Source organism: Homo sapiens, chromosome 12 (assembly GCF_000001405.40).
Source record: "Homo sapiens chromosome 12, GRCh38.p14 Primary Assembly".
Lineage (NCBI taxonomy): Eukaryota > Metazoa > Chordata > Mammalia > Primates > Hominidae > Homo > Homo sapiens.
In genome coordinates, this window is record NC_000012.12 from 6,217,257 (window position 1) to 6,238,406 (window position 21,150).

The 21,150-nt window shown below is 50.4% G+C and overlaps 1 protein-coding gene and 1 long non-coding RNA gene across 17 annotated transcripts in view, besides 10 other annotated features; one reads left to right on the forward strand and one right to left on the reverse strand.

The window, feature by feature from the left end:
- The window catches only part of CD9 (CD9 molecule), a 38,321-nt gene extending 17,311 nt beyond the window's left edge, over positions 1 to 21,010 (forward strand). For 5 of the 15 annotated variants that reach the window (NM_001413243.1, NM_001330312.2, NM_001413241.1 and 2 more), the window contains 7 exons: positions 8,170 to 8,278; positions 15,376 to 15,473; positions 16,156 to 16,230; positions 17,973 to 18,071; positions 18,220 to 18,309; positions 18,936 to 19,019; positions 20,507 to 21,010. In NM_001413243.1, the coding sequence (NP_001400172.1) occupies positions 8,170 to 8,278; positions 15,376 to 15,473; positions 16,156 to 16,230; positions 17,973 to 18,071; positions 18,220 to 18,309; positions 18,936 to 19,019; positions 20,507 to 20,572 (621 nt within the window). In that variant the 3' untranslated portion in view covers positions 20,573 to 21,010. Of the gene's footprint in view, positions 1 to 7,007; positions 7,114 to 8,169; positions 8,279 to 8,882; positions 9,105 to 15,375; positions 15,474 to 15,680; positions 15,750 to 16,155; positions 16,231 to 17,972; positions 18,912 to 18,935; positions 19,020 to 20,506 lie in introns of those variants that run through there. The other 10 variants (NM_001413249.1, NM_001413242.1, NM_001413245.1 and 7 more) reach the window with 10 other exon arrangements.
- Positions 693 to 1,892: an enhancer, noted in NCBI's record as "CDK7 strongly-dependent group 2 enhancer chr12:6327115-6328314 (GRCh37/hg19 assembly coordinates)". NCBI's record gives its function as "activates an origin of replication core promoter dependent on BRD2, BRD4, P300/CBP, MED14 and CDK7 cofactors, with strong dependence on CDK7, by STARR-seq in HCT116 cells {active_cell/tissue: HCT116}" and the evidence as "EXISTENCE:reporter gene assay evidence [ECO:0000049][PMID:35650434]".
- Positions 693 to 1,995: a biological region, named in NCBI's record as "CDK7 strongly-dependent group 2 enhancer GRCh37_chr12:6327115-6328314".
- Positions 1,123 to 1,995: an enhancer, noted in NCBI's record as "H3K27ac hESC enhancer chr12:6327545-6328417 (GRCh37/hg19 assembly coordinates)". NCBI's record gives its function as "activates a minimal SCP1, AML or CMV promoter by ChIP-STARR-seq in primed H9 embryonic stem cells {active_cell/tissue: H9 hESC(primed)}" and the evidence as "EXISTENCE:reporter gene assay evidence [ECO:0000049][PMID:30033119]".
- Positions 2,007 to 2,301: a silencer, noted in NCBI's record as "tiled region #3368; HepG2 Repressive DNase matched - State 9:DNaseU". NCBI's record gives its function as "represses a minimal TATA promoter and a strong SV40 promoter by Sharpr-MPRA in HepG2 cells {active_cell/tissue: HepG2}" and the evidence as "EXISTENCE:reporter gene assay evidence [ECO:0000049][PMID:27701403]".
- Positions 5,635 to 6,188: an enhancer, noted in NCBI's record as "H3K4me1 hESC enhancer chr12:6332057-6332610 (GRCh37/hg19 assembly coordinates)". NCBI's record gives its function as "activates a minimal SCP1, AML or CMV promoter by ChIP-STARR-seq in naive H9 embryonic stem cells {active_cell/tissue: H9 hESC(naive)}" and the evidence as "EXISTENCE:reporter gene assay evidence [ECO:0000049][PMID:30033119]".
- Positions 6,189 to 6,740: an enhancer, noted in NCBI's record as "H3K4me1 hESC enhancer chr12:6332611-6333162 (GRCh37/hg19 assembly coordinates)". NCBI's record gives its function as "activates a minimal SCP1, AML or CMV promoter by ChIP-STARR-seq in primed H9 embryonic stem cells {active_cell/tissue: H9 hESC(primed)}" and the evidence as "EXISTENCE:reporter gene assay evidence [ECO:0000049][PMID:30033119]".
- The window catches only part of LOC105369625 (uncharacterized), a 71,439-nt gene continuing 57,001 nt past the window's right edge, over positions 6,713 to 21,150 (reverse strand). For both annotated transcript variants that reach the window (XR_001748978.2, XR_001748979.2), the window contains one exon: positions 6,713 to 6,962. This is a non-coding gene — a long non-coding RNA (uncharacterized LOC105369625). The remainder of the gene's footprint in view (positions 6,963 to 21,150) is intronic.
- Positions 6,741 to 7,294: an enhancer, noted in NCBI's record as "H3K4me1 hESC enhancer chr12:6333163-6333716 (GRCh37/hg19 assembly coordinates)". NCBI's record gives its function as "activates a minimal SCP1, AML or CMV promoter by ChIP-STARR-seq in naive H9 embryonic stem cells {active_cell/tissue: H9 hESC(naive)}" and the evidence as "EXISTENCE:reporter gene assay evidence [ECO:0000049][PMID:30033119]".
- Positions 13,527 to 13,821: an enhancer, noted in NCBI's record as "tiled region #10655; HepG2 Activating DNase matched - State 5:Enh, and K562 Activating non-DNase unmatched - State 20:ReprD". NCBI's record gives its function as "activates a minimal TATA promoter and a strong SV40 promoter by Sharpr-MPRA in HepG2 and K562 cells {active_cell/tissue: HepG2 | K562}" and the evidence as "EXISTENCE:reporter gene assay evidence [ECO:0000049][PMID:27701403]".
- Positions 13,527 to 13,872: a biological region, named in NCBI's record as "Sharpr-MPRA regulatory region 10655".
- Positions 13,663 to 13,872: an enhancer, noted in NCBI's record as "active region_5843". NCBI's record gives its function as "activates an Ori minimal core promoter by ATAC-STARR-seq in GM12878 lymphoblastoid cells {active_cell/tissue: GM12878}" and the evidence as "EXISTENCE:reporter gene assay evidence [ECO:0000049][PMID:35858748]".

Here is a 21,150-nt window from a genome sequence, read left to right on the forward strand (position 1 = left end):
TCACACCTGTAATCCCAAGCTTTGGGAGGCCAAGGTGGGTGGATTGCTTGAGCTCAGGAGTTCAAGACCAGCCTGAGCAACACGGTGAAACCCTGTCTCTACAAAAAAAATAAGAAAAAAAAAAATTAGCCATGTATGGTGGCTTCCACCTGTGGTGCCAGCTACTTGAGAGACTGAAGTAGGAGGATCGCTTGAGCCCGGGAAGCAGAGGTTGCAGTGAGCCAAGATTGTGCCACTGTACTCCAGCCTGGGTGACAGATTGAGACCTGTCTCAAAAAAACAAGTATTTTCCCAGATGATTCTGATGCCCACCCCATAAAGAAGCAGGCCCTAGGTGGCACAGCTGTGCAGGCAGCAGCTCACTATTCTTTCTATTAAGCCACCTGTCCCTTGTTGAAAATTGTGTATCATTTTGACCATGGGCTCAGCAGAGTAACCAAGTAGCCATTGCTTTTCCAGGAGGACAATGGGAAGTTGGGAAGAAAGTTCTCCCTCCTTCCTGGACTCCATCCACTCACCACTGCCCACCTCCAACCCCTCCCAAAGTGGTAGATATGGCCACCTCAAGGCCAAGGCATCCTCAGCAAGAAATCACTGTGAGCAATGATCTGCTCTCCACTTTCTGGGCTTTCCAAGGCAGCTGAATAGAGGAAGCATAACAAATATTTTGTCCTTTTTAAAAAATGGGCTGGGTACAGTGGCTCATGCTTGTAATCCCAGCACTTTGAGAGGCCAAGCTGGGTGGATCTCCTGAGCCCAGGAGTTCGAGACCAGCCTGGACAACATGGGGAAACTTCATCTCTACAAATAATTTTTAAAAATTAGCTGGGCGTGGTGGTGCACACCTGTAGTCCCAGCTACTCAGGAGGCTGAGGTGGGAGGATCATCTGAGCCTAGAGAGGTCGAGGCTGCAGTGAGCCATGGTCATACCACTGCACTCCAGCCTGGGTGACAGAGTGAGACCCTGTCTCAAAAAAAAAAAAGTGTATGGCCAGTCAGTACATATTACAGAAGATGGGACCTGGAGGAAAAGGGGGCCCACGCCAAGAGCACCCAGTTTGTTTGACCACAAAGGATTTTTCTTTGCAGTAGGATTTGTCCCATAGGCAAACTTGGCTTCTCCCACCCGGGGAGTGGCATGCAGTATGCCCTCCCCCACACTGAAACCACGTTCAACCCACTGCTCTTTTCCTCTTCCTCTGGGTTACCTCCTCTTTTTCAGCACACCTACTTCAAGAATTTCCATCAGGAGGCCAGGCTGTACATACGAACCTCCCCAGGTTCTAACTGGAACTGGTTTTGCACACTTGGCATAGAGTCCCCAGAGCAGCCAGGTGCCCCTAAGCTCCGTTACACTTTGATGTTTTTTGTTTAATCCTCCTTTGAAATTGGAAATGTTTCCTGTAACTCCAGGTGTGTGTTTCAGTGTAAGATTTCTGAACCTGTCCCTGCAGCAAGATTTTGCAGTGTGAGTCACTGAAATTCTCATCTTTGCGTGGGAGCCTTGGGTGAATTGTGCTCTCAGTGGTGAGTGGGTGTGGCAAGGGATGACCAGGACACCATTCATTGTGGGCCTGAGTTTGGGGCACTCTTGGGTTCTCATGTCTCCTGAGGCTCACATAAGCCCCAGGTGACCAGCTTACCTGTGTTCGTCAAACATAAGAGTGTTTGACTGGACTTCTTTGAGGGATGGGGGTGCTGGCAGAGTTGCAGATAAAGACCGAGGACAGCAATGCATGGGTTGTTTTTTTGTTGTTTTTATTTTTGGAGATGGAGTCTCGCTGTGTCACCCAGGCTGGAGTGCAGTGGCTCAATCTCCGCTCATTGCAACCTCTGGCTCCCGGGTTCAAGTGATTCTCCTGCCTCAGCCTCCCAAGTAATTGGGACTACAGGCACACACCACCACGCCCGGCTAATTTTTGTAGTTTTAGTAGAGACGGGGTTTCACCATGTTGGCCAGGCTGGTCTCAAACTCCTGACCTCAAGTGATCCGCCTGCCTTGGCCTCCCAAAGTGCTGGGATTACAGGCATGAGCCACCGCACCCGGCCTGCATGGGCTTTTTGTAAACTTGGTTTTCCAAAGTCTGTATAAGGATTTGCCTGTAAGTCACATTGGGACATGCTTCACCAACAGAAAGGGAAATTGTTGTCATTCCCCAAATATTCCCCAACCAACCTTAATGGGGCTTCCTTAGTATTTACTCTGGGCAAATAATTGTTCTTTGTGGTTTCTTTTTTTTTTCTTTTGAGATGGAGTCTTGCTCTGTCGCCCAGGCTGGAGTACAGTGGCGTGATCTCGGCTCACTGCAAGCTCCGCCTCCCGGGTTCACTCCATTCTCCTGCCTCAGCCTCCCAAGTAGCTGGTACTACAGGCACCCGCCACCACGCCCGGCTAATTTTTTGTATTTTTAGTAGAGACAGGGTTTCATCATGTTAGCCAGGATGGTCTCCATCTCCTGACCTCATGATCCGCCCGCCTCGGCCTCCCAAAGTGCTGGGATGACAGGCAAGAGCCACTGCGCCTGGCCTCTTTGTGGTTTCTGACTCTTGTGAGACATTTGAAGATGGATCTGGATAAAAGGCCTGATGGGAAAGGAAGCTGGTCCAAATGAAGAGGACACAGGAGAGGAGATCTGGGTGGATTTCAAATACTTTTTCACTGAAGTAGTCATTCATTTATGGAGTAATTACTTACTAATGACCATCCGTCCAAAGCATGGATGGGGCAAAGGAGATAAAAGAATGACTCAGAGGTCCCCTGGACCTCAAGGAGCTTGTGCTCTGCTGAGATGGGAGGCAAACCCCAGATAGAGGAAGGGCAGAGAGTGTGGAGCATGGATGCTGGAGAGGACAGGATGGATGCGACACTGGCCTGCTCACGTGCTTGGCTTGCTCAGGGGTTGCATTTGCCATTTGCATGGGAGGAATGGGAGGAAATGGGTGGGGAAGCAGCAGGCTTGGCTTAGGCGATCACGACAGCATTCTAAGAGGGACTTGTACTAGCAGAGGCACAATGCACGAGGCTGAACTCGGGAAACTTGGAGAGATTGCATCTAAGGAGCAGACAAGGAGGAGGCAGGGTTCAGTGGTGTCAGCTGCTGTGGGATCCCAAGACATAAGGATTCAGCAAAAGTCTTAAGACTCACCACCCCTTTCGGGTTGGGAGAGATGCAGTGACGAGCCAGTGAGGACTTGGAGGTGGTTAAGACGCCAGCTCAGGGGTGAAAGGAAAGCAGAGAGCACCCTGAAGGAGCTGCGAGGTTGAAGAAAAAAAGGGTTCTATTTCTGGTTTTCTTCTGTTTGGATTTTTAGGTTAGGGAGACCTGTCTGTGTCTTCGCAAAGGTCAAAAAAGTGGCAGAGGCAGACCTGCATAGTCAGGAAAGAGGTTAATTAGTGGAGCAGGTTCTTGAAGGAGACAGGAAGCTTTGAAAGAGAGAGACCCCTGCTTCTTTATTATTGTTTTATACACTTTGTTTTAGAATAATTTTAGATCTACAGAAAAGTTGCAGAGATAGTGTAGAGAATTCCCTCATCCTCCTCCCCAGTTTCCCCTATTGTACCATCTCATATTACTGTGTTTCATTTGTCACAACTAGGAAACCACCGTTGGTACATTCTGTTAACTGAGCTCTGGACTTAGTCGGATTTCACTAGTTTTTCATGTAACGTCCTATTTCTGTTCCAGGGTCCTATCCAGGACACCACAGGACAGTTGTCATGCCCCCTCAGTCTTCTCTGGGCTGTGACAGTTTCTGTCTTTCCTTGTTTTCCATGACCTTGACAGTTTGGAGAGAAGTGCTAGGCAAGTATTTTGTAGACTGTGCTCAGTTGAGGTTTGGCTCATGTTTTTCTCAGGGCCTAGCACCAGTGAAGAAACGAAGAAATTTCCAGTAAAACAATGGGAAAAAATGACCCTTTTCCTCTCGGCCCTCTCAAAGGGATGGAACCATTTTTTGGCCAGATAGCAAAGGAGCTTTTCCCAGCAAAACCAGAATGTTTCCATTTGGCTTTTCTTGGAAACAAAAGAGGAAACCATGGGCAGGGCCGCGAGCTGGGAGTAGAAGCTATGGGCTCTCTCCTGCATCCCCGCATCCCCGCCCGACCAGCTGGGCATACTACAGGTTGCCATCCTCTCTCCAGAGCCCTGGGAACAGGGCACTGTCTCATTCAGCATCCGCATCAAACCTGCTCTGCTCCTGGGATGATAGGCTGGGGTGGGGCAGCCATCGAAGAAATTACATGGTCAGCATGCCGCCATATGTCTGTTAATTAACCTGGGTGGAAGCCATCGACCCCTTGGCCTCCCGGACTCCTATATTCTCATTTATGGAGTCCCTGAATAATTGACTTGGCACCCTCTTTTAAGGGTTAAAGCTCTCTTTTTTTCTTGCTCCTGGCCCCTCCCATTTAGTTTCTCCTATTATTAAAGTAGCTGAAGCTGGGCGCAGTGGCTCACACCTGTAATCCAAGTGCTTTGGGAGGCTGAGGCAGGAGGATTGCTTGAGGCCAGGAATTTAAGACCAGCCTGAGCAACATAGCGAGACCCCTGGCTCTACAAAAAAAAAAAAAAAAAAAAGGGTTTAAAATATTAGCCAGGATTAGCGGCATGCACCTGTAATCCCAGCTACTCAGGAGGCTGAGGTGGAAGAATGGCTTGAGCCCAGGAGTCCAAGGCTACAGTGAGCTATGATTGCACCACTGCACTCCAGCCTGGGTGACGAGAGCAAGACCCTGTCTCAAAAAATAAAGCAGCTGGGGTGAAAGCCGGATGGGGACAGGGGAGCCCCTCTATGCCACACCAGAAAGTGAGTTCTCCTAGAAAATACTTCAGAGCGCCTTAGATAGCGCTGCCTGACAACCATGAAAGGCATTATTGGGTGGCACTGGTTATACAAGTTTTGTGACCCTGTGACCCCAAGCCATTGTGACTCAGCCAACTGGAGCAATGTCTCCAACAGCGTTACAGAAAATGGGGCAGCTGATGGTTCACATAGCATCCCCCCCGGCCGGTGAACTCAGTCATTCTGTCAGAAAAGGCAGCAGGGTTCACTCCTGATTTTTGTCCAAGTGTTCCCAGTCATGCCCCTGGCCCTCCCTTTTCTCTGGGTTACTTGAACCTTTCTCCTCTCTTATTGTGAGTTGTTAAGCCTGTGAGACCGAGACCTATGGCAGCTTTTCCCATTTCTCCAGAGCCAGCTGCTTTTCCTTCCTGGTTGTAGTGAAATGTTGTAGCTTTGACAACCAAGCCGCATGATGTAAGGTTTAAGGTGGGGTCCGAATGCGGGGGACTCCCGACTCCGGGCTTGGCCTGGCCCTTGGCCAAGATAAGAGACCTGAGATGCTTCCTTTTCCCTCGTGGTTCCAGTTCTCCAGCCCAGCATCCTTCTTACCACCTGTGCACAGAGACCGGATCAATGACTGGACTTAACATATTGGCTCAGGGTCCTCGACATTGGGGCTCTCTATAAGATGGAAGGGGCCTTACCCCTGGAGGTTCCACTGGGGTACCCTGTCATTATCTGAGCGTGGAACATTCCCAGAGAGACGCAGCTCCTGCTCGTGAGAGGCTGCTGTGCAGAGCGTAGCTTTACCTCATCTTACAGCTTAGTTCCTTGGCAGACCTGGGATTGTTTTCGTTCTTTTCTGCGACTCAGTTTTCCCAGCAGATAAGGGGTGGGGTCATAACTTCACTCATCAGGGGAAGTAAGATGACTTGGGAGATAATTGCTTGATAAGCACAAGCCTAGAGCAAAAAGGACAGTAATGAGCACTGTCTCGCTATCTCCCTATGCGCGCAAGAGCATCACAAGACCAGGGCGAGAGGGAGGACCAGGGTGAGAAACAGGTTGTGGCTAAACGTGGACCAAAATTGAGCACCGGCCTACAGTTTTCAGGTTAACGCTTTTATGTCCAGGAGGCCAGCAGCTTCAGTCTTCCATTCCCAGGGGACTGACTGGGCCTCCCTGGGGTTGGGGTGGAAGGAGGGAAGGTATCACCTTTGTACTTTTTTTTTTTTTTTTTTGAGAGGGAGTCTCGCTCTGTCGCCCAGGCTGGAGTGCAGTGGCGCAATCTCCGCTCACTGCAAGCTCCGCCTCCCGGGCTCACGCCATTCTCCTGCCTCAGCCTCTGGAGTAGCTGGGACTACAGGCGCCCGCCACCACGCCTGGAGAATTTTTTGTATTTTTAGTGGAGACGGGGTTTCACTGTGTTAGCCAGGATGGTCTCGATCTCCTGACCTCGTGATCCACCCGCCTCAGCCTTCCAAAGAGCTGGGATTACAGGCGTGAGCCACTGCACCCAGCCCACCTTTGTACTTTTAATGCTCAGGGACCTGGGGGGGGACCCAGGCCAGGACTTGCCATGTACAGAGTCAAGACCGCCCAGTGTGTGCTTGTCTAGTCCCTTGTGTACGTGAATTCAAGCCACATAACTCTTCTAGCCCAGCACGCTCCCAGCAGGGCCCGCCTCCCCGCCTAAGCTAACTGCAGTGCTCTTGGTCGGGGAACCCATGGTCTGAATGCGAGTACCCTGCTGGGTCCAGGACGGTGGAGACTCACGCTTCTCCCCAACCAAACAGTGATCTGCTTGCTGCCTTTGGATTAGGCCAGGAGACCCTCCCTCACTGGCCTTTTATTAAGAAAGAAAATCAGACTCGTCTTTGAACTCAGAACTCTCAAGTTCATTTGAACTCTCAAATTCTTGTGCCTGTGTGAGTTTTTCTCCTCTGCCTTGTCCAGCCGCGGGGCATGTGGCGTCGTACAGTCCTTACCAATGTTTGGAGCTGCCTGCCCTAAGGTGCGGCTGAGAGGCTGAGAAGATGCTGAGTGACAGTCCACAGGCTGGGAGTGCAGGGCTGGTGGGGCTTCATGCTGGTAAAGTGAGGTGGTTCTCCCAGAGCCCATTTGGTACCTTCCTCTTCAGATGCACTTCTGATATTATCTTCTTTATTCTTTAGCCATACCTAAAAGGCAGGGAAGGGCCGCATCTCACAATCCCTGCTTTACAGATGGGAACACTGAAGCAATAGAATATGAAGCTAGACTCTGCAGCCCCTCGTGGTGGAAGCACACCTCCCTGGCAGGAGCAAATCCCCTTATGCTCCTGGGGGGTAGGTGAGTTTGTGACTGCTGCAGGCGGAGGTCTGGGTGGCCCTTCCCACTATTGCCACATCTGCTGTCCACCCAACATGCCCACACTCACTGCCATATCGTAAGGGAAAGGAGAGGAGGAAAGGAGGAAGGAAAGAGAGGCCTGTCCACACCATGGGCTATCAATAGCTCCTGGAGCCGAGAACCAAGGTCCCTGATGAGCGGGCTCTGACATAAGAGTGCCTCTGTTGAGGAGGGTGGACCAGCAAAACCTGGGCCCACCCACTCCTGCGTCCAGCCGGCTACCACACTGGAGGCCTGTGAGTCACTCCCCCGGCAAGCCCTGGTACGGGTGACGACGAGGGAGCTCAGCTGGCACTGGGGGGACTTGGCAGGAGGCCTCCTGCACAGCATCTAGTTCAGCAGTGCCAGCGAGGGGAGGCCCTGGCATGTCATTTACTGAGCAGCAGGTCTCCAGGGACATTGCAGCTGCCCTCCCTGGTGCATGTGTGTCCGGAACTGTGTAACCATCACCCAAGTCAACAGTTAGAATACGACACCCCCAGCCACATGGCACCTCCCTGAGCATAATTTCCTCCTCCACCTAAACATCACCACTCACCTGATAACAATGCTTTTCCTTTATCATTTATAGGCACATGTAAGCGTCTAGCTCTGTGTGCATCCCTAAACAGCATAGCGTTTTTAACTACATGGAATCATATTGTGTGTGTGCCTGTGGCTCTGGCTTCTTGGTTTAGCATTGTGAGATGCACTCATGGTGTTGCGTGTAGCTAGAGTTACTCGTTTTCACTGCTGTATAGTGTTCTGTTGCCTATAAAATACCCCTTCAGCCAATGGGCGGCAGGTAGGTCACTGTTTATTCCTCGCTTGCTGGTATTTTTAGTACCTGCATGAATCAAACACACCCCGTAATGGCATCTACAACTACCAGGCGTATATGAGGGGCAGAGACCAAGGGTGGTCACAAAGTCCTTTGCAAGTCTCACCCTTAAGCGCGTGGGGACTGTGTTGTTGCTGGCAGCCAGAATTAATGCTGATGTCCTGTATGTCTTGCAGCTTGCCGGGATTGCTGTCCTTGCCATTGGACTATGGCTCCGATTCGACTCTCAGACCAAGAGCATCTTCGAGCAAGAAACTAATAATAATAATTCCAGCTTCTACACAGGTGAGGGACGGGGAAGGCTCAGTGAATTCAGACCCTGGCTCCAACAAAGTTCCTGCAACTTTGGAGGCCCCATGTTGACCCAGGGACTTGGGCTTGGGAAAGACTTTTGCTCTAGCCACGCTGGCCAGTCGTGTCCCTTTCAAGTTGTGCAGTTTTTGTGTGTGTCGTTGTGCCTGGGAATTTGCGTTTAACTGATGTGGTTTCTTTTCCTGATGGCCAAGTCAGGCATGTTGATGGTTCTCTGATGTGATGTAGCCTCTGCCAAAGTTGTACTCATTCTTGAGGGTTTACGAACCTCTGTTCTCATCTCTGATGCTCTCTCCTGATTGTCTTCTTATCCTGCATCATTTCCTTAATTCAAAAAGCTTTGTCCTGGGGATCTGCAGTGCTGGAAGAAGATATAGACAGCTTTCCTCTTCACTGTTCAGATAGGGACTCTGAGACTGGGAAAAACATCAGCCTCCTGGAAAACACAGCAACAATAGGAGAGACTAGAATGGACTCTGCCCAGTCCTTTGGACCCCTGGTACTGGGGTAAATGCTGTAGTGTTTAGTTTTATTTGTTTGTATTTGACACGACTTTTGCTTTGGGAGAGAGGCTTCCAGTTTAAACCTGCCTGGGATCCTCTGAACATGAACAGACTTGGCAGGTTTCTTTCTACACTCAGGCTTCTTGGCAGCCTTGCTAGACCATTCTATCCCTCTCGTTGCCGTATCACCACGTCAAAGCTCCCTTCAGAGGAGGGGGAGCCTGGTGCCTGCCAAGTGCAGTTGCCCGCGTCTGCGTGAATTCAGACTCTGCGGCTGTACTCTGCCTGGCTTGGAGGTAGGAAACTTTTCATTTGTGAGGAACAAAGGAAACCTCCTATTTTTAGGATGACGCTGACATGTTGTCAGGCTCAAAATGTAAGTTTGGTCACTTCCTTCCCACCCACCAAAAAAGTTATTTTTACAAACGAGGGAGAAAACAGTTATCTCCCAGTCCCTCAGGGAGAAGCAAGGCTGGCCAGCCACGTAGACCTTCCCTTTCCCACCTCTTGAACTGGGTAGGGAGAGTCTTTAAAAACAGCTCCTTTGGTTGCGTAACATTTGAGCCCTGTGGATAGTTTTGCTGGGTTTACTGCTTTTTATTGTTAGCTGGGGTTTTTTGGGGTGTGTCTCTCTATTATCGGAAAGAAAGTGAGAGAAAGCACAATGTATGTTTAGAAAAAAAACTACACATACACACAGAGTTTTTGGGGAACAGGTTTCTATAGCGCCCTGACTTGTTTTGGCAACAGACCATTTTTTGGGAGTCTGTGACAGGCTTAGAATGCTGTCCTGCAGAGCAGGAGGGAGGAGCCGGGTGCGGGTGCTGGGGAAGACTCTCCACACTCCACGCCGTGTTCCAGAAGGGAGCCCTGTGCTGGGGGAGCAGGTCTGCCGGCAGGAGCAGGCACAGTCAGGCCTGCTTTCCTAAGCAAAAGCCCTGTGGCCGGCGCGTGTGTCTCCAAAGAGAGACTCAGTCCTCCCTTGTCCTGGCTGCTTCTAACAACCCACTTTTTCTTTTCTGTTACCCAAAGCCTCTATGGCTGATTCTTTATATTTTTAGATGTGGGAGTTAAGAATCTCATGGGTAAGAGGATGGAACTGGGAGGAAGACACTAACATTTTTATTTTTTATTTTTTTTATTTTTTTTTTGAGACGAAGTTTCAATCTTGTTGCCCAGGCTGGAGTGCAATGACACAATCTCGGCTCACCGCAACCTCTGCCTCCCAGGTTCAAGCGATTCTCCTGCCTCAGCCTCCTGAGTAGCTGGGATTACAGGCATGTGCCACCATGCCCAGCTGATTTTGTATTTTTAGTACAGACGGGGTTTCTCCATGTTGGTCAGGCTCGTCTCCAACTCCCGACCTCAGGTGATCCTCCCGTCTTGGCTTCCCGAAGTGATGGGATGACAGGCGTGAGCCACCTCGCCCGGCTGGAAGACACTAACATTTTTGAGCCCCCTTCTTTGTGTGTCATTCATTGTCTTGTGTGTATTATATAATTTAATCCCCTTAGCTCTACGAGGAGTGTGGAGTGATTCTCATCTCACAAGTGCAGAAACCGAGGCCTAGAGAGCTGAAATAACTTGTCTAAGCTTATATTCCCTCAAGAGGCAGGGCCAGGTTTTGAACCCAGGCCTAAAAGAGCTGCTTCTCGGGTTGTCATTGCCAGGTTGTGGGGTCTCCCTCTGTAGGAATGGAAGAGGTCTGTACTGGCTGAATGTGCCCCATTGGCAGGGATGGGGTGGCGCTGTCTTGGCCCTTTTACTTCACCCAAATTGCAGTCAGGGAGAGAAACCCCTGCGTCGGTGGCCCAGCCAGCAGCTGACAGGTGGGAAAGCTGCAGGGTGGCAGGAGAATGGTGAGTGCCATTAGAGGAGCTGGGGCTCACCTCTGGGAACCTCACAGGATTCAGATCCTGCAGGTCATTGCAGGGCCCTGCTGGTGGCCGGTGGTCCTACCTGAAGTGACCAGGAGGGTGATTTGAAGGCACAACCCCAAAGAGACACAGATCCCCTAGTTGGGGTCTAAGGGCCACTGTCCACTTAGCTCTGCCAGGGAAATACAGATCCTTTGCAGCGACACCCCATTCGGGGAAGAGAGCGGAGCTTTGAAGACTTCGTTCTGCCTGCAGAAGCGCCGGCAAGGGGGATGATGCACGGTAAAGTTAGAACAGCAGCACTGTGTCTGGGCACAGTGATCAGCCCTGATCTCAGGTGATCCGTCCGCCTCAGCCTCTAGCACTTTGGGAGGCCGAGGCAGGCAGATCACCCGAGGTCAGGAGTTCGACACCAGCCTGGCCAACATGGCAAAACCCCACTTCTACTAAAAATACAAAAATTAGCTGGGCGTAGTGGCGTGCACCTATAATCCCAGCTACTCGGGAGGCTGAGGCACAAGAATCTCTTGAACCTGGGAGGCAGAGGTTGCAGAGAGCTGAGATCACACCACTGAGGCTCTGTCTCCAGCCTGGGAGACAGAGCGGGACTCCATCTCAAAAAAAAAAAAAAAAAAAAAAACAGCAGCACAGCACTCTGAGCACTGCTTAGGTCTGAGCTATGCCCTGAACGTCACTGAACGCTTTAGGAAATAATAATTGTCGTCCATGGGCAAAGGGCCAAGGAGGCGTCGCTCTGTGTCCCCTTCCCCACGAGGCTGTGAGACCAGCCTTCTGTACTGGCCCAGAGCCCTTCTCCTAGCAGATGAGCTTGGAGTGCCAGCCACACCCTGGCTACTTTTCCAAGGAATAGTCATGGGGTGACCGCCCCTTGCACTGGGCCACCAACTGTCTGCAGAGCAACCCACAGGCCAGCCTGACCATGCAGCTGACTTTTCAGGAAACCTGAACAGCCCAGGGGTGTCTTTTCTCCAGTGGGGCCACAGCTTACCAAGTAGAGAAAGAGTATATAACCAGGCAGAAAAGCAAGTGAAAACCTTTCCAACATTCAGAACAGTCTATGGTAAGTCCAGAGCAGCTGACAGCCTTATATGGGCCTTCTCTCCAATCCAGGCCTGGAGATTCAGCCCGTCAGCAAGATCCCTAATCCCAGGCTGCAAACTTGTTGGGGAACTTCATTTTCTTGGTCCTAGGCCAGCAGCCTTTCCCAGCTCCCTGGTGTCCCTCCAGAACCATGGCTGCTGAATGAGGGCATCTAGGGGGGCTCCAGCCAGAGGCCGTGAATGCCCCCCCTTCCTCGGCCAGCCCCCTATCCATGATGAGGTGCCTGGTGATTTTCAGGACACGCGACACTTGGCCTTAGTAAGCTGGCATCCCCATCCTGGCTTGTGACCTGGGGCAGTTCATTTTATTGCTCTGGGCTTCATTTTTCTCCCTCCTGAAACCAGCACAGCTTACACAACCACAGCACAGCTTACACACCCACTCCCCTCTGGGGCAAAGAAGTACAGCGTGTGGCAAATGGAATTCCATTGTGGCACTTATTCCCGTGAACTCGGGAGGGCGGGAACCAAGACGAAACCAGTCGGGGCAGAGGTAGGGCTCCTTTGAACACCTGGTGGAGTTATTTGGATATAATAAACTTTTATTGCAGGCCAGAGGCCCTACCGGATTTTGTTCTCCTTCACACAAACGGGCGTGGTGAGTGCTGTTTGCAGGACAGAGCTGGTGTAGGGACGGGAGCCTGCTGTGTCCTCTCCCTGGGCTAAACTGAGAGCCCTGGTGAACAGTGAAAAACACTGTTCCATTTCTTGTGTAAAGGACACGCTGGCATATGCTACTGCTGCTACACCAGCCTTTCTTTTTTTTTTTTTTTTCTGGGCCTGTAATGTCAGCCTGAAAAAAGCAGAATAAACAACCCTTAAGCAAATTAATACCGTAATCCTAGAGAAGGCTCTGTGATGGATAACTTTTTCCATGAGTCAGACAGCAAGCTAACATTCGCTTGTTTTATAAAGGGGAACACTTTGTCATTTATCAACAGCAGCCTTGGCTAACAAGCTTGGGGTGTAAGCGATGAGTAGCTTCTCCAAAGGGAAGCACTGAATAGCCCTTGTAAAAACCAGCCCGAGCCCTGCAGTGGTTCCGTGACTTCCATGGGGCCTGCTTCCAGATGAGCTGTCCTGTAGCTTGCCGGCTGCTGCTGAGTCCCCGAACACAGCTGCCAGGGGATCGCTTCCCTTTTCCCGTGACTAGAGAGGGCTAAAGCTAGGCACTGCAGATCCGTAGCCATCCACGCAAGATTTAAAGCCCACAAAACCCGTGATCCTAAAATCTTCCTCTGCTGAGCCCTAGCATGAATATTTAATATTAACCACAAGCCCCATTAGGAGCATGTTCTCTTTCTCTGCGTGGGAAATACTTTCTCTTTAGTAGCTCACTTGCAGCTAATCCAATTCCCTTGGCCTCTGCCAGGACCGCCAGGTTCAAGAACTGGGATCTGGACTTAGAGAAAACATGTCTGCCTGTTCGTTCCCACTCCACGGTATTTCATGTGTTTGTAAATCCTTTTGATCTCTTAATACCTCCTGTTTATTCAGCCCCTGCTATGGAGCTCAAAGGAGTGACCTCATCCTTCCTTGACTTGCCCCCATTAGATGGGGAGAAACTGGGGCCTTTCTACTGTCCCCATGTGAGAGAACCAAAGGAGGCTGCCCTCTTACCCAGTGCTCCATGCATGGGGCTGCACAGCCTCCCCAAGCCCAGCTTGTGGCCTCAACAGCGTTTGACTGCCCAGGAAGATGCGACCTGACTTGAGGACAAGCTACATTTGTCCCCTTGCCCAGTGTGGGCCAGGCATGCACAAGAACAATACCCATATTCTTGCAACATGGGGTTTGCCAGTAACCCCACGTGACTTGACCTCACGACGGATGTGGGGGAGAAGGGGGAGGAACAAACGCTCTCTGTGTGCATTCTGCTCTGTGCTGCCCGTGAGCCTCAGCTGCGGGCAGACTGCATGGTTTGTTGCCTGCAAAGTCTCACCCCTGCTCGGGGTGCAGATGTGGGACAGTGAAGTCAGCGTGTCACCTGCCGAGGGTTCTCATCGAGTGTCCTGCTGTGTATTGTGGGGAAACATCACAGACTTTCTCTCTCGCGTGCGTGTTTTCAGCCCCTACATCAAGGATATCTCTCTGGTCCCAGTGAAAGGACAGTAGGGATACAGCAGCAGGTTAAAATTCACCATGGTGATTATTAATGATTGTTACTCATGCTTGGTATAATTGAGATTAACAACAGCTAGCATTTGTTGTGCACATGTGGATTATATCACTTAATCCTCACAGCAATCCTGGAAGTGGGCATTATTGCTACTCCTGTTTTACAGATAGAAAACTGTTGCACAGAGAGGTTAAGTGGCTTCCCCAGAGTCACAGATCTGGTGCTCTCGACATGTGACAGTAGCCTCTCCCAAGGCTAGATAGAACATGCCTGCAAGACAGGGAGGCACAGAGACTTTGCTGCTGGTTTTCCTTTGGGACCCATGTAGGGCTGGGGTGCTGATTAAGGGAATAGTCCCTGCAGGACAGCTGTGGCTTCTCAAGAATAGAACTGTGGGGTGGCCCCTCTGGGCATTCCTTTGGTGGGTTGTGGAACGAATGGGGCCAGTGCTGCTCTACTGTTTGTGTCCCAGGAATTTGCATTGTTCTGGGTTTGGGCAAAAGTTATAGAAGTTGCTGCCCTTCTCTCACCTCCTTTCCATGAGCCACTCAGATCAAGGGCTTAGTAATGGTGTCACTCATCCTCTCCTTAGCAAGGAGGAGCCTCTTCACCCTTAACCTGCAATAACTGAGTTATGACTGTTAAGATCTTGTTAGCATGCTATAGAGATCTTTTGAAATTTCCAGGAACATACCTCTTTAATTTTACTAGTAAGGAAATTGAGGCCCAGAGAGGGAAAATGTCTTACCCCAGGTCACACAGCAATTAGCATCAGTGTTAGGGCCAAAAGAAGGGTCTTCTGACACCCAGATCTGTGTCCTTTGCACTAGAGTCAGGTATTGGACCTTTGCCAAGAGGTGCCTTTGGGTGTTCCTAACTGTATGTGCCTAACCACCACCCAGCAACAGGGCAAAGAGGCCCGCCTTCTGGGAACAGGCAGAGTTGGTTCCCCCCACCCCTGGGTAGGGGGGTGCCTAGGTGTGCACGGCCCCTTCCTGCTGGAAATCTGCTCTGACAGCGTCCTCTGTAAGGCAGGGTCCCAGAAGTTAGCCAGAGTGTGGAAGGTATATGCTAACTAGCTTGAGTGGATTCATCTTGCTGGAAAGAGCTGACAGACTGGACCAGTTTGCATTCCGAATGTAGGGATTCCCGTGGATATTCTCTGTCCTGGATTGAGGGCTAATGGGCACCTTCCAGAAGGGCTGAGGGTAAGGTAGGAGCGTGAGCTTGATGAAGCAGAGTCATGCAAGAGAGGCTGGTGGGAAGGAGACCTGGGGCAGAGGTGGAAGAGGAGGCTGTATTTTAAGGAAAGGGAACTTCTTCCCTGAGATGAGGGGAATAAGGAGGTGGGGAGGCAGGAGTTAGGCAGAGGGAAACAGGAATTGCCGGAGATGCCTGGGCCTCTGAACTGATGTCTCCACGCGTGTGTGCTTCCTCTGTCCTCCCGCAGGAGTCTATATTCTGATCGGAGCCGGCGCCCTCATGATGCTGGTGGGCTTCCTGGGCTGCTGCGGGGCTGTGCAGGAGTCCCAGTGCATGCTGGGACTGGTGAGTATCCCCTCGGCATCCCCACAGCCACCCTGACTCCCACCAACAAAAACCTCAGCAGGCCCAGACCCAGACCACAGAACAGATGGAGGGGGATGGGGTCAGGAAGGTACCCAAAGGGCATGAGCTGTCCTCAGCCTGGGCCCCTCCCCGATGTGAGGCGTCGCCCCTCTTCCTTTCTGGAGCCTGTCTTATCGCTTCCCCTAGGCAACTAAAAGGACTATGTTTCCCCCTTTTCTCGAGGACCACGTTTGCTTTTTTTCCCTGAATCCACAGGTACCTTTGCCTTCTCCTTCTTGTTTCAAAATCTGTTTTGGTCTTTTCCGAACTCCACGGAGTGGATTCGCTCCCTTTACTTGCCCAAATCTCTTGTCTTTTGTGAACAATAGTAGTTGCCTGCTCACTGACTCTTAACTAACGCCTTGTAAATGCTAGTTCTGGGCTCAGCTGTGCTCAGCTCTTTCCTCATGTCCGGGCACCTTGCCTCACTGTGGCCTCTGTCCTGGGCTTGGTTAACTGCCTGTTCTGTGAACTTCTTCCCTGCCCCTGCTAGGCTATTCATTTGTGTCACCAGATGCCTGTTCCCAGGGAGTTGTCCTTCTTCCTTGTCCCAAAATACCCTTTGATTTTCCTGGCTGGTTGGCTGGGACTGTTCTCACCCCGTCCCCTCGTTGCCTTCCAGTTCTTCGGCTTCCTCTTGGTGATATTCGCCATTGAAATAGCTGCGGCCATCTGGGGATATTCCCACAAGGATGAGGTAGGTTTTTCCCATGAGATCTCTTGGGTTTGGGAGTTGGGGGATGGGGGACAGTGAAGCAGGGGGCAAGTCCTGGCTGGGCACTTTGTTCAGCTTTCAGCTGTTGACCAGGCCTCTTATCTCATCGCGTCCCTGTGTGCCAGCGAATGTGCCCTCCTCGGGGCAGGGAATGTCAGTGCGCTTACTGTCCTGTCCGAGATTGTGCCAGCCATGGTGTTGACTCATAGTAGATGTTCAGAAACTACCCATTGGGCCTGTGCGTGTGTCTGTCTGTCCATCTCACACCTCAGCAGCCCTTCCCCACAACTTTTAGAAAGATTACTCAGGAAATACAGGCTTTCTGTGGGCTGGACACCCTTGCCTCCTCCTCTGATCTATAAATAACATGTTCAAGTGCTGCCCCCATGAGCCAAGTGCTGCCCCCAAGCCTGTGCAGGGTCCACAGATGTTTGAACTATGGGCCCCACATCCGGAGACTTGGCCATCTAGTATGGGGAAAAGACATGAAATTGATAAGGGTCATAGAGGTGATTTATATCCAAAGTACTATGGGATTTGAAAAGGTGGGGCTGGGAAGGGAATCTCTTTTGGCTTCATAGAGAAGGGAGCCGTGACCTAAACCTTGAATGAGAGATGCGTTCAGGAGGAAAGTTAGTGGAGGCAGGGGACTTCCAGTCAAAGGGGCTGAGCATGGCTGAGCTTGGGCTTACGTGGGGAGCCCTGCAGAGTTTTGGACCAGGATGGGCCATATCAGAGTAGTGTTTTTGGAAGGGCTGCCTTGTCATGTTCAGCAGGAAGGGGGAAGGAAGAGAGATGCTGAGATGCTGGAGGCAGGAACCCTATTGTTTTGTTTTGTTCTTGAGACTAGTCAAGCGCGGTAGTGAGAAACAGGGAAGAGTAGAACAAGGACTTCCATCTGTAACTGACGTGAGCAATCCATTGAGATAACTCACTACTTTTAGCCCAGCCAAGGGAACTCTGTTTAAAAAAAAAAAAAAAACATGTCTGTAAGCAATAACAGCTACAGCCATAGAAATAGGAGGGGATCATTGTGAAAAATGTCAGACAGATGCTGAAGGAAAAATGCTGGCTGTTGGTCTGTTAACTGGATGTGGTGAGCATCAAAGGGGCAGACAGACATTAAATTGGGATGCGCCAGGCGCAGGCACATAATAATACATCCCCTATATTATGATACAATAGCTGGCACGTGCTCCAGATTTACTCTGTACTGGACATAGTGGTAAAGGCTTAACATGCAATATTTCATTTAAATTCTCACAAATAATCTATGAGCTGTAGGGACAAATGTGGAAACTCCATACAGAGAGGCTTAGTAATTTGCCAAAACTCATACCTAAGTGAAGAGAAAAACAAGATGGAAGCCTGAGAAAATAGTCAGGTCAGGAGTAGTATTTCAATTATTATCATCCTCTAGATCATAGAGATTCAATTTAGGAGCCAAGTTAGGAGCCAAGTAGAGCTGAAGGACTGACCAAAGTGTAAGGGACAGGGAGAAACAGCCCGAGTGGGTTTCTGGAGGATGTGGGAGGAGATGGGAAGTGCCCAAAGGCCCTGAGAGAAGGCAGTGCTAGCAGCTGCCATCTGCCCAGTGACGTTGTCCAAGCACAGGCATCTGGTGGCTGAGAGCTTAGAGAGAACAAGATGGAACGCATAACATTTGTTCGTGGAGGAAGATGTGAAAATGCCGTCTCTGCCCCTCTCTCGTCTGCCCATTGTAGGTGATTAAGGAAGTCCAGGAGTTTTACAAGGACACCTACAACAAGCTGAAAACCAAGGATGAGCCCCAGCGGGAAACGCTGAAAGCCATCCACTATGCGGTATGTCGCCTTGGCAAAGACACCCTCCTGCGCTTTCTCCGGATTGTGTCTGCACACAGGGTGCTGACTGCACCAGACCAGTGCAAACATTCTAATCGTCTTCTTACAATTTGTTTCTCTCATCCCCATCCCTGCCTTCTCGCTGTAGTTGAACTGCTGTGGTTTGGCTGGGGGCGTGGAACAGTTTATCTCAGACATCTGCCCCAAGAAGGACGTACTCGAAACCTTCACCGTGAAGGTAAACTCAGACCAGGATCCTGGTGTCCCTGCCCCCATTGCTCTGGACAAACCCTGCAAGCATGAAAGTGACAGCAGCCAAGTGCTGCTTCAGCAAGACCCGTTCTGCCTGTGAAAGGGCCCCAGGGCACCCATCTCTTTCTCTCCCACTTTGGGCCCTCTGTTTACTCAAGGGCAATAAAACAAAGGCCGGACCAGGGGAATGACAAGTGTTCTGGCACCGCCCACTGCTGCCAGCCCGGAAGCTCTCAAGGGCAGGCGTGCTTCTGAGTCTTGGACTCCCACTCTGACTTTGTCAGTGGCTCCTGTCTGTAAGCCAGAGTTAATGTCCAACTCCAGAATAGTAAAAGGTGACCTTACAACCATGTCAGAAATAGACCCCCAAGCAGGGCCTGTCCCTCCTCCTTCCCTGACGTCCTGCCCAGATTTTAGGGATCCACTAGCATAGCCATCCCTTTGTTCCCCTTTCCATCCACCAGCCAGAACTTCTCTTATCCCCGAACACTCCTGTCCCCAGCCCACCCTCTGCCCACCAGTTCTCCCGGGTGAGACGGGGGCCATGGGAGGGAGGAGGTGCCCTGGGAGGAAGGATTGTGTGTGACCCAGGTCTTGGTTTGTCTCCCCAAGTCCTGTCCTGATGCCATCAAAGAGGTCTTCGACAATAAATTCCACATCATCGGCGCAGTGGGCATCGGCATTGCCGTGGTCATGGTGAGTGGCAGGACGTCGTCCCAGGAGGGGGACTGAGGAGTTCACATTGATTCAGCCCATGCTCTACCCAGACACCGCCGCACTCTGTGCATTTGTCAACTCACTTTGTCCTCGTGCCCTTAGTATTTCCATTTTACCACTAGGGAATGGAGAGACAGAGAGGCCGATGTTCTGATCAAAGCCTCTCACCTCCTGAGTGGAGTATCTGAGGCTCCCCCTGGGCTTCTAAAGAGTCGACTCTCTTAGCCGTTAAGGTTCAGGGCACATGGGTGGCAGTGCTGGCACTGCTAGTCCTCGGAGCATGTCTCCTCACGCACCTGCTGTTCTTCTCCCTAAGAAAGTCGTTCACTAGAGGCTACCGGCGTGGGAATTGTTCCATTTCCTGAAGTGCATCTGAACATGGGCAGCCAGAAGGAGGTCTCTCGCTAATCAGCCCCTAGAAACCAACAAGGGCCAACCAGGTTCCTTGGGGTCATGTCCTCTCTTCCCATGAGGGACAGCCCCAGACGGAACATGGTCCTCGCTGGGATGGCCTTGGCTCACTGAGTCTTCCCCCACCCCCGCCTGCCTCTGCCCTCTTGCCAGACTGCCCCCAAAGAGAGAATCGCCTCCTTTCTTAGTGGTTATTTGCACCCTTCACCGGCATCTTAAGAAAGGCATGAAGCACCTTTCAGCAAAATATACGACAATACCTTCTTTTTTTTCTTTTTTTCTTTTTTTGAGACGAAGTTTCACTCTTGTCGCCCAGGCTGGAGTGCAGTGGTGTGATCTCGACTCACTGCAACCTCCGCCTCTCTGGGTTCAAGCAATTATCCAGCCTCAGCCTCCCGAGTAGCTGGGACTACAGGCGTGTGCCACCATGCCCAGCTGATTATTTTTAGTAGAGATGGGGTTTCACCATGTTGGTCAGGCTGGTCTCGAACTCCTGACCTCAGGTAATCTGCCTGCCTTGGCCTCCCAAAGTGCTGGGATTACAGGCGTGAGCCACTGTGCCCAGCCAAGATATAACAATACGTTTTAAAATAGAATATTAACATTTTGGGAGGCCGAGGCAGGCGGATCGCACCACAGCACTCTAGCCTAAGCAACAGAGCAAGACTCCATCTCAAAAGAAAAAAAAAAGAGTATTAAATAACATACACACAAAGACAAATGCAAAAGTACTAACCTGTATGGACTAGGACTATAGGAAAACCTGGAATTTGAGCATTAAATTTGGCTCTGAGCTTACTTTCCCACCCTGAAAGTTCTCCAAGGAAAATGCTTGTGCAGCTGACTGCCAACCCCCCCAGATTCCTCACGTCCCGCACCCTTCTCATTATCTGGCCTGCATCTCTCCTGCTTCAGCACCTTCTGACTCGTTTGGCCTCCTGGATGCCATTCTCCTTGTCATTTTTCTTGGACTGGGTGACCCATGTCTCTCCCTTTCCCTCAGCCTTCCTTCAGATCAAACCACCCTGATCCTCATGTTTCTTCCTATCTCCTAGATATTTGGCATGATCTTCAGTATGATCTTGTGCTGTGCTATCCGCAGGAACCGCGAGATGGTCTAGAGTCAGCTTACATCCCTGAGCAGGAAAGTTTACCCATGAAGATTGGTGGGATTTTTTGTTTGTTTGTTTTGTTTTGTTTGTTGTTTGTTGTTTGTTTTTTTGCCACTAATTTTAGTATTCATTCTGCATTGCTAGATAAAAGCTGAAGTTACTTTATGTTTGTCTTTTAATGCTTCATTCAATATTGACATTTGTAGTTGAGCGGGGGGTTTGGTTTGCTTTGGTTTATATTTTTTCAGTTGTTTGTTTTTGCTTGTTATATTAAGCAGAAATCCTGCAATGAAAGGTACTATATTTGCTAGACTCTAGACAAGATATTGTACATAAAAGAATTTTTTTGTCTTTAAATAGATACAAATGTCTATCAACTTTAATCAAGTTGTAACTTATATTGAAGACAATTTGATACATAATAAAAAATTATGACAATGTCCTGGACTGGTTTTTGTTTTGTTTAATTATTTTGAGAGCTATTTGGTTTGCAAATGTCTTTCAACTCCTATTAACTCCACCTGCATTTTTTTTTTTTTTTAAGACGGAGTTTCGCTCTTGTTGCCCAGGCTGGAGTGCAATGGCCC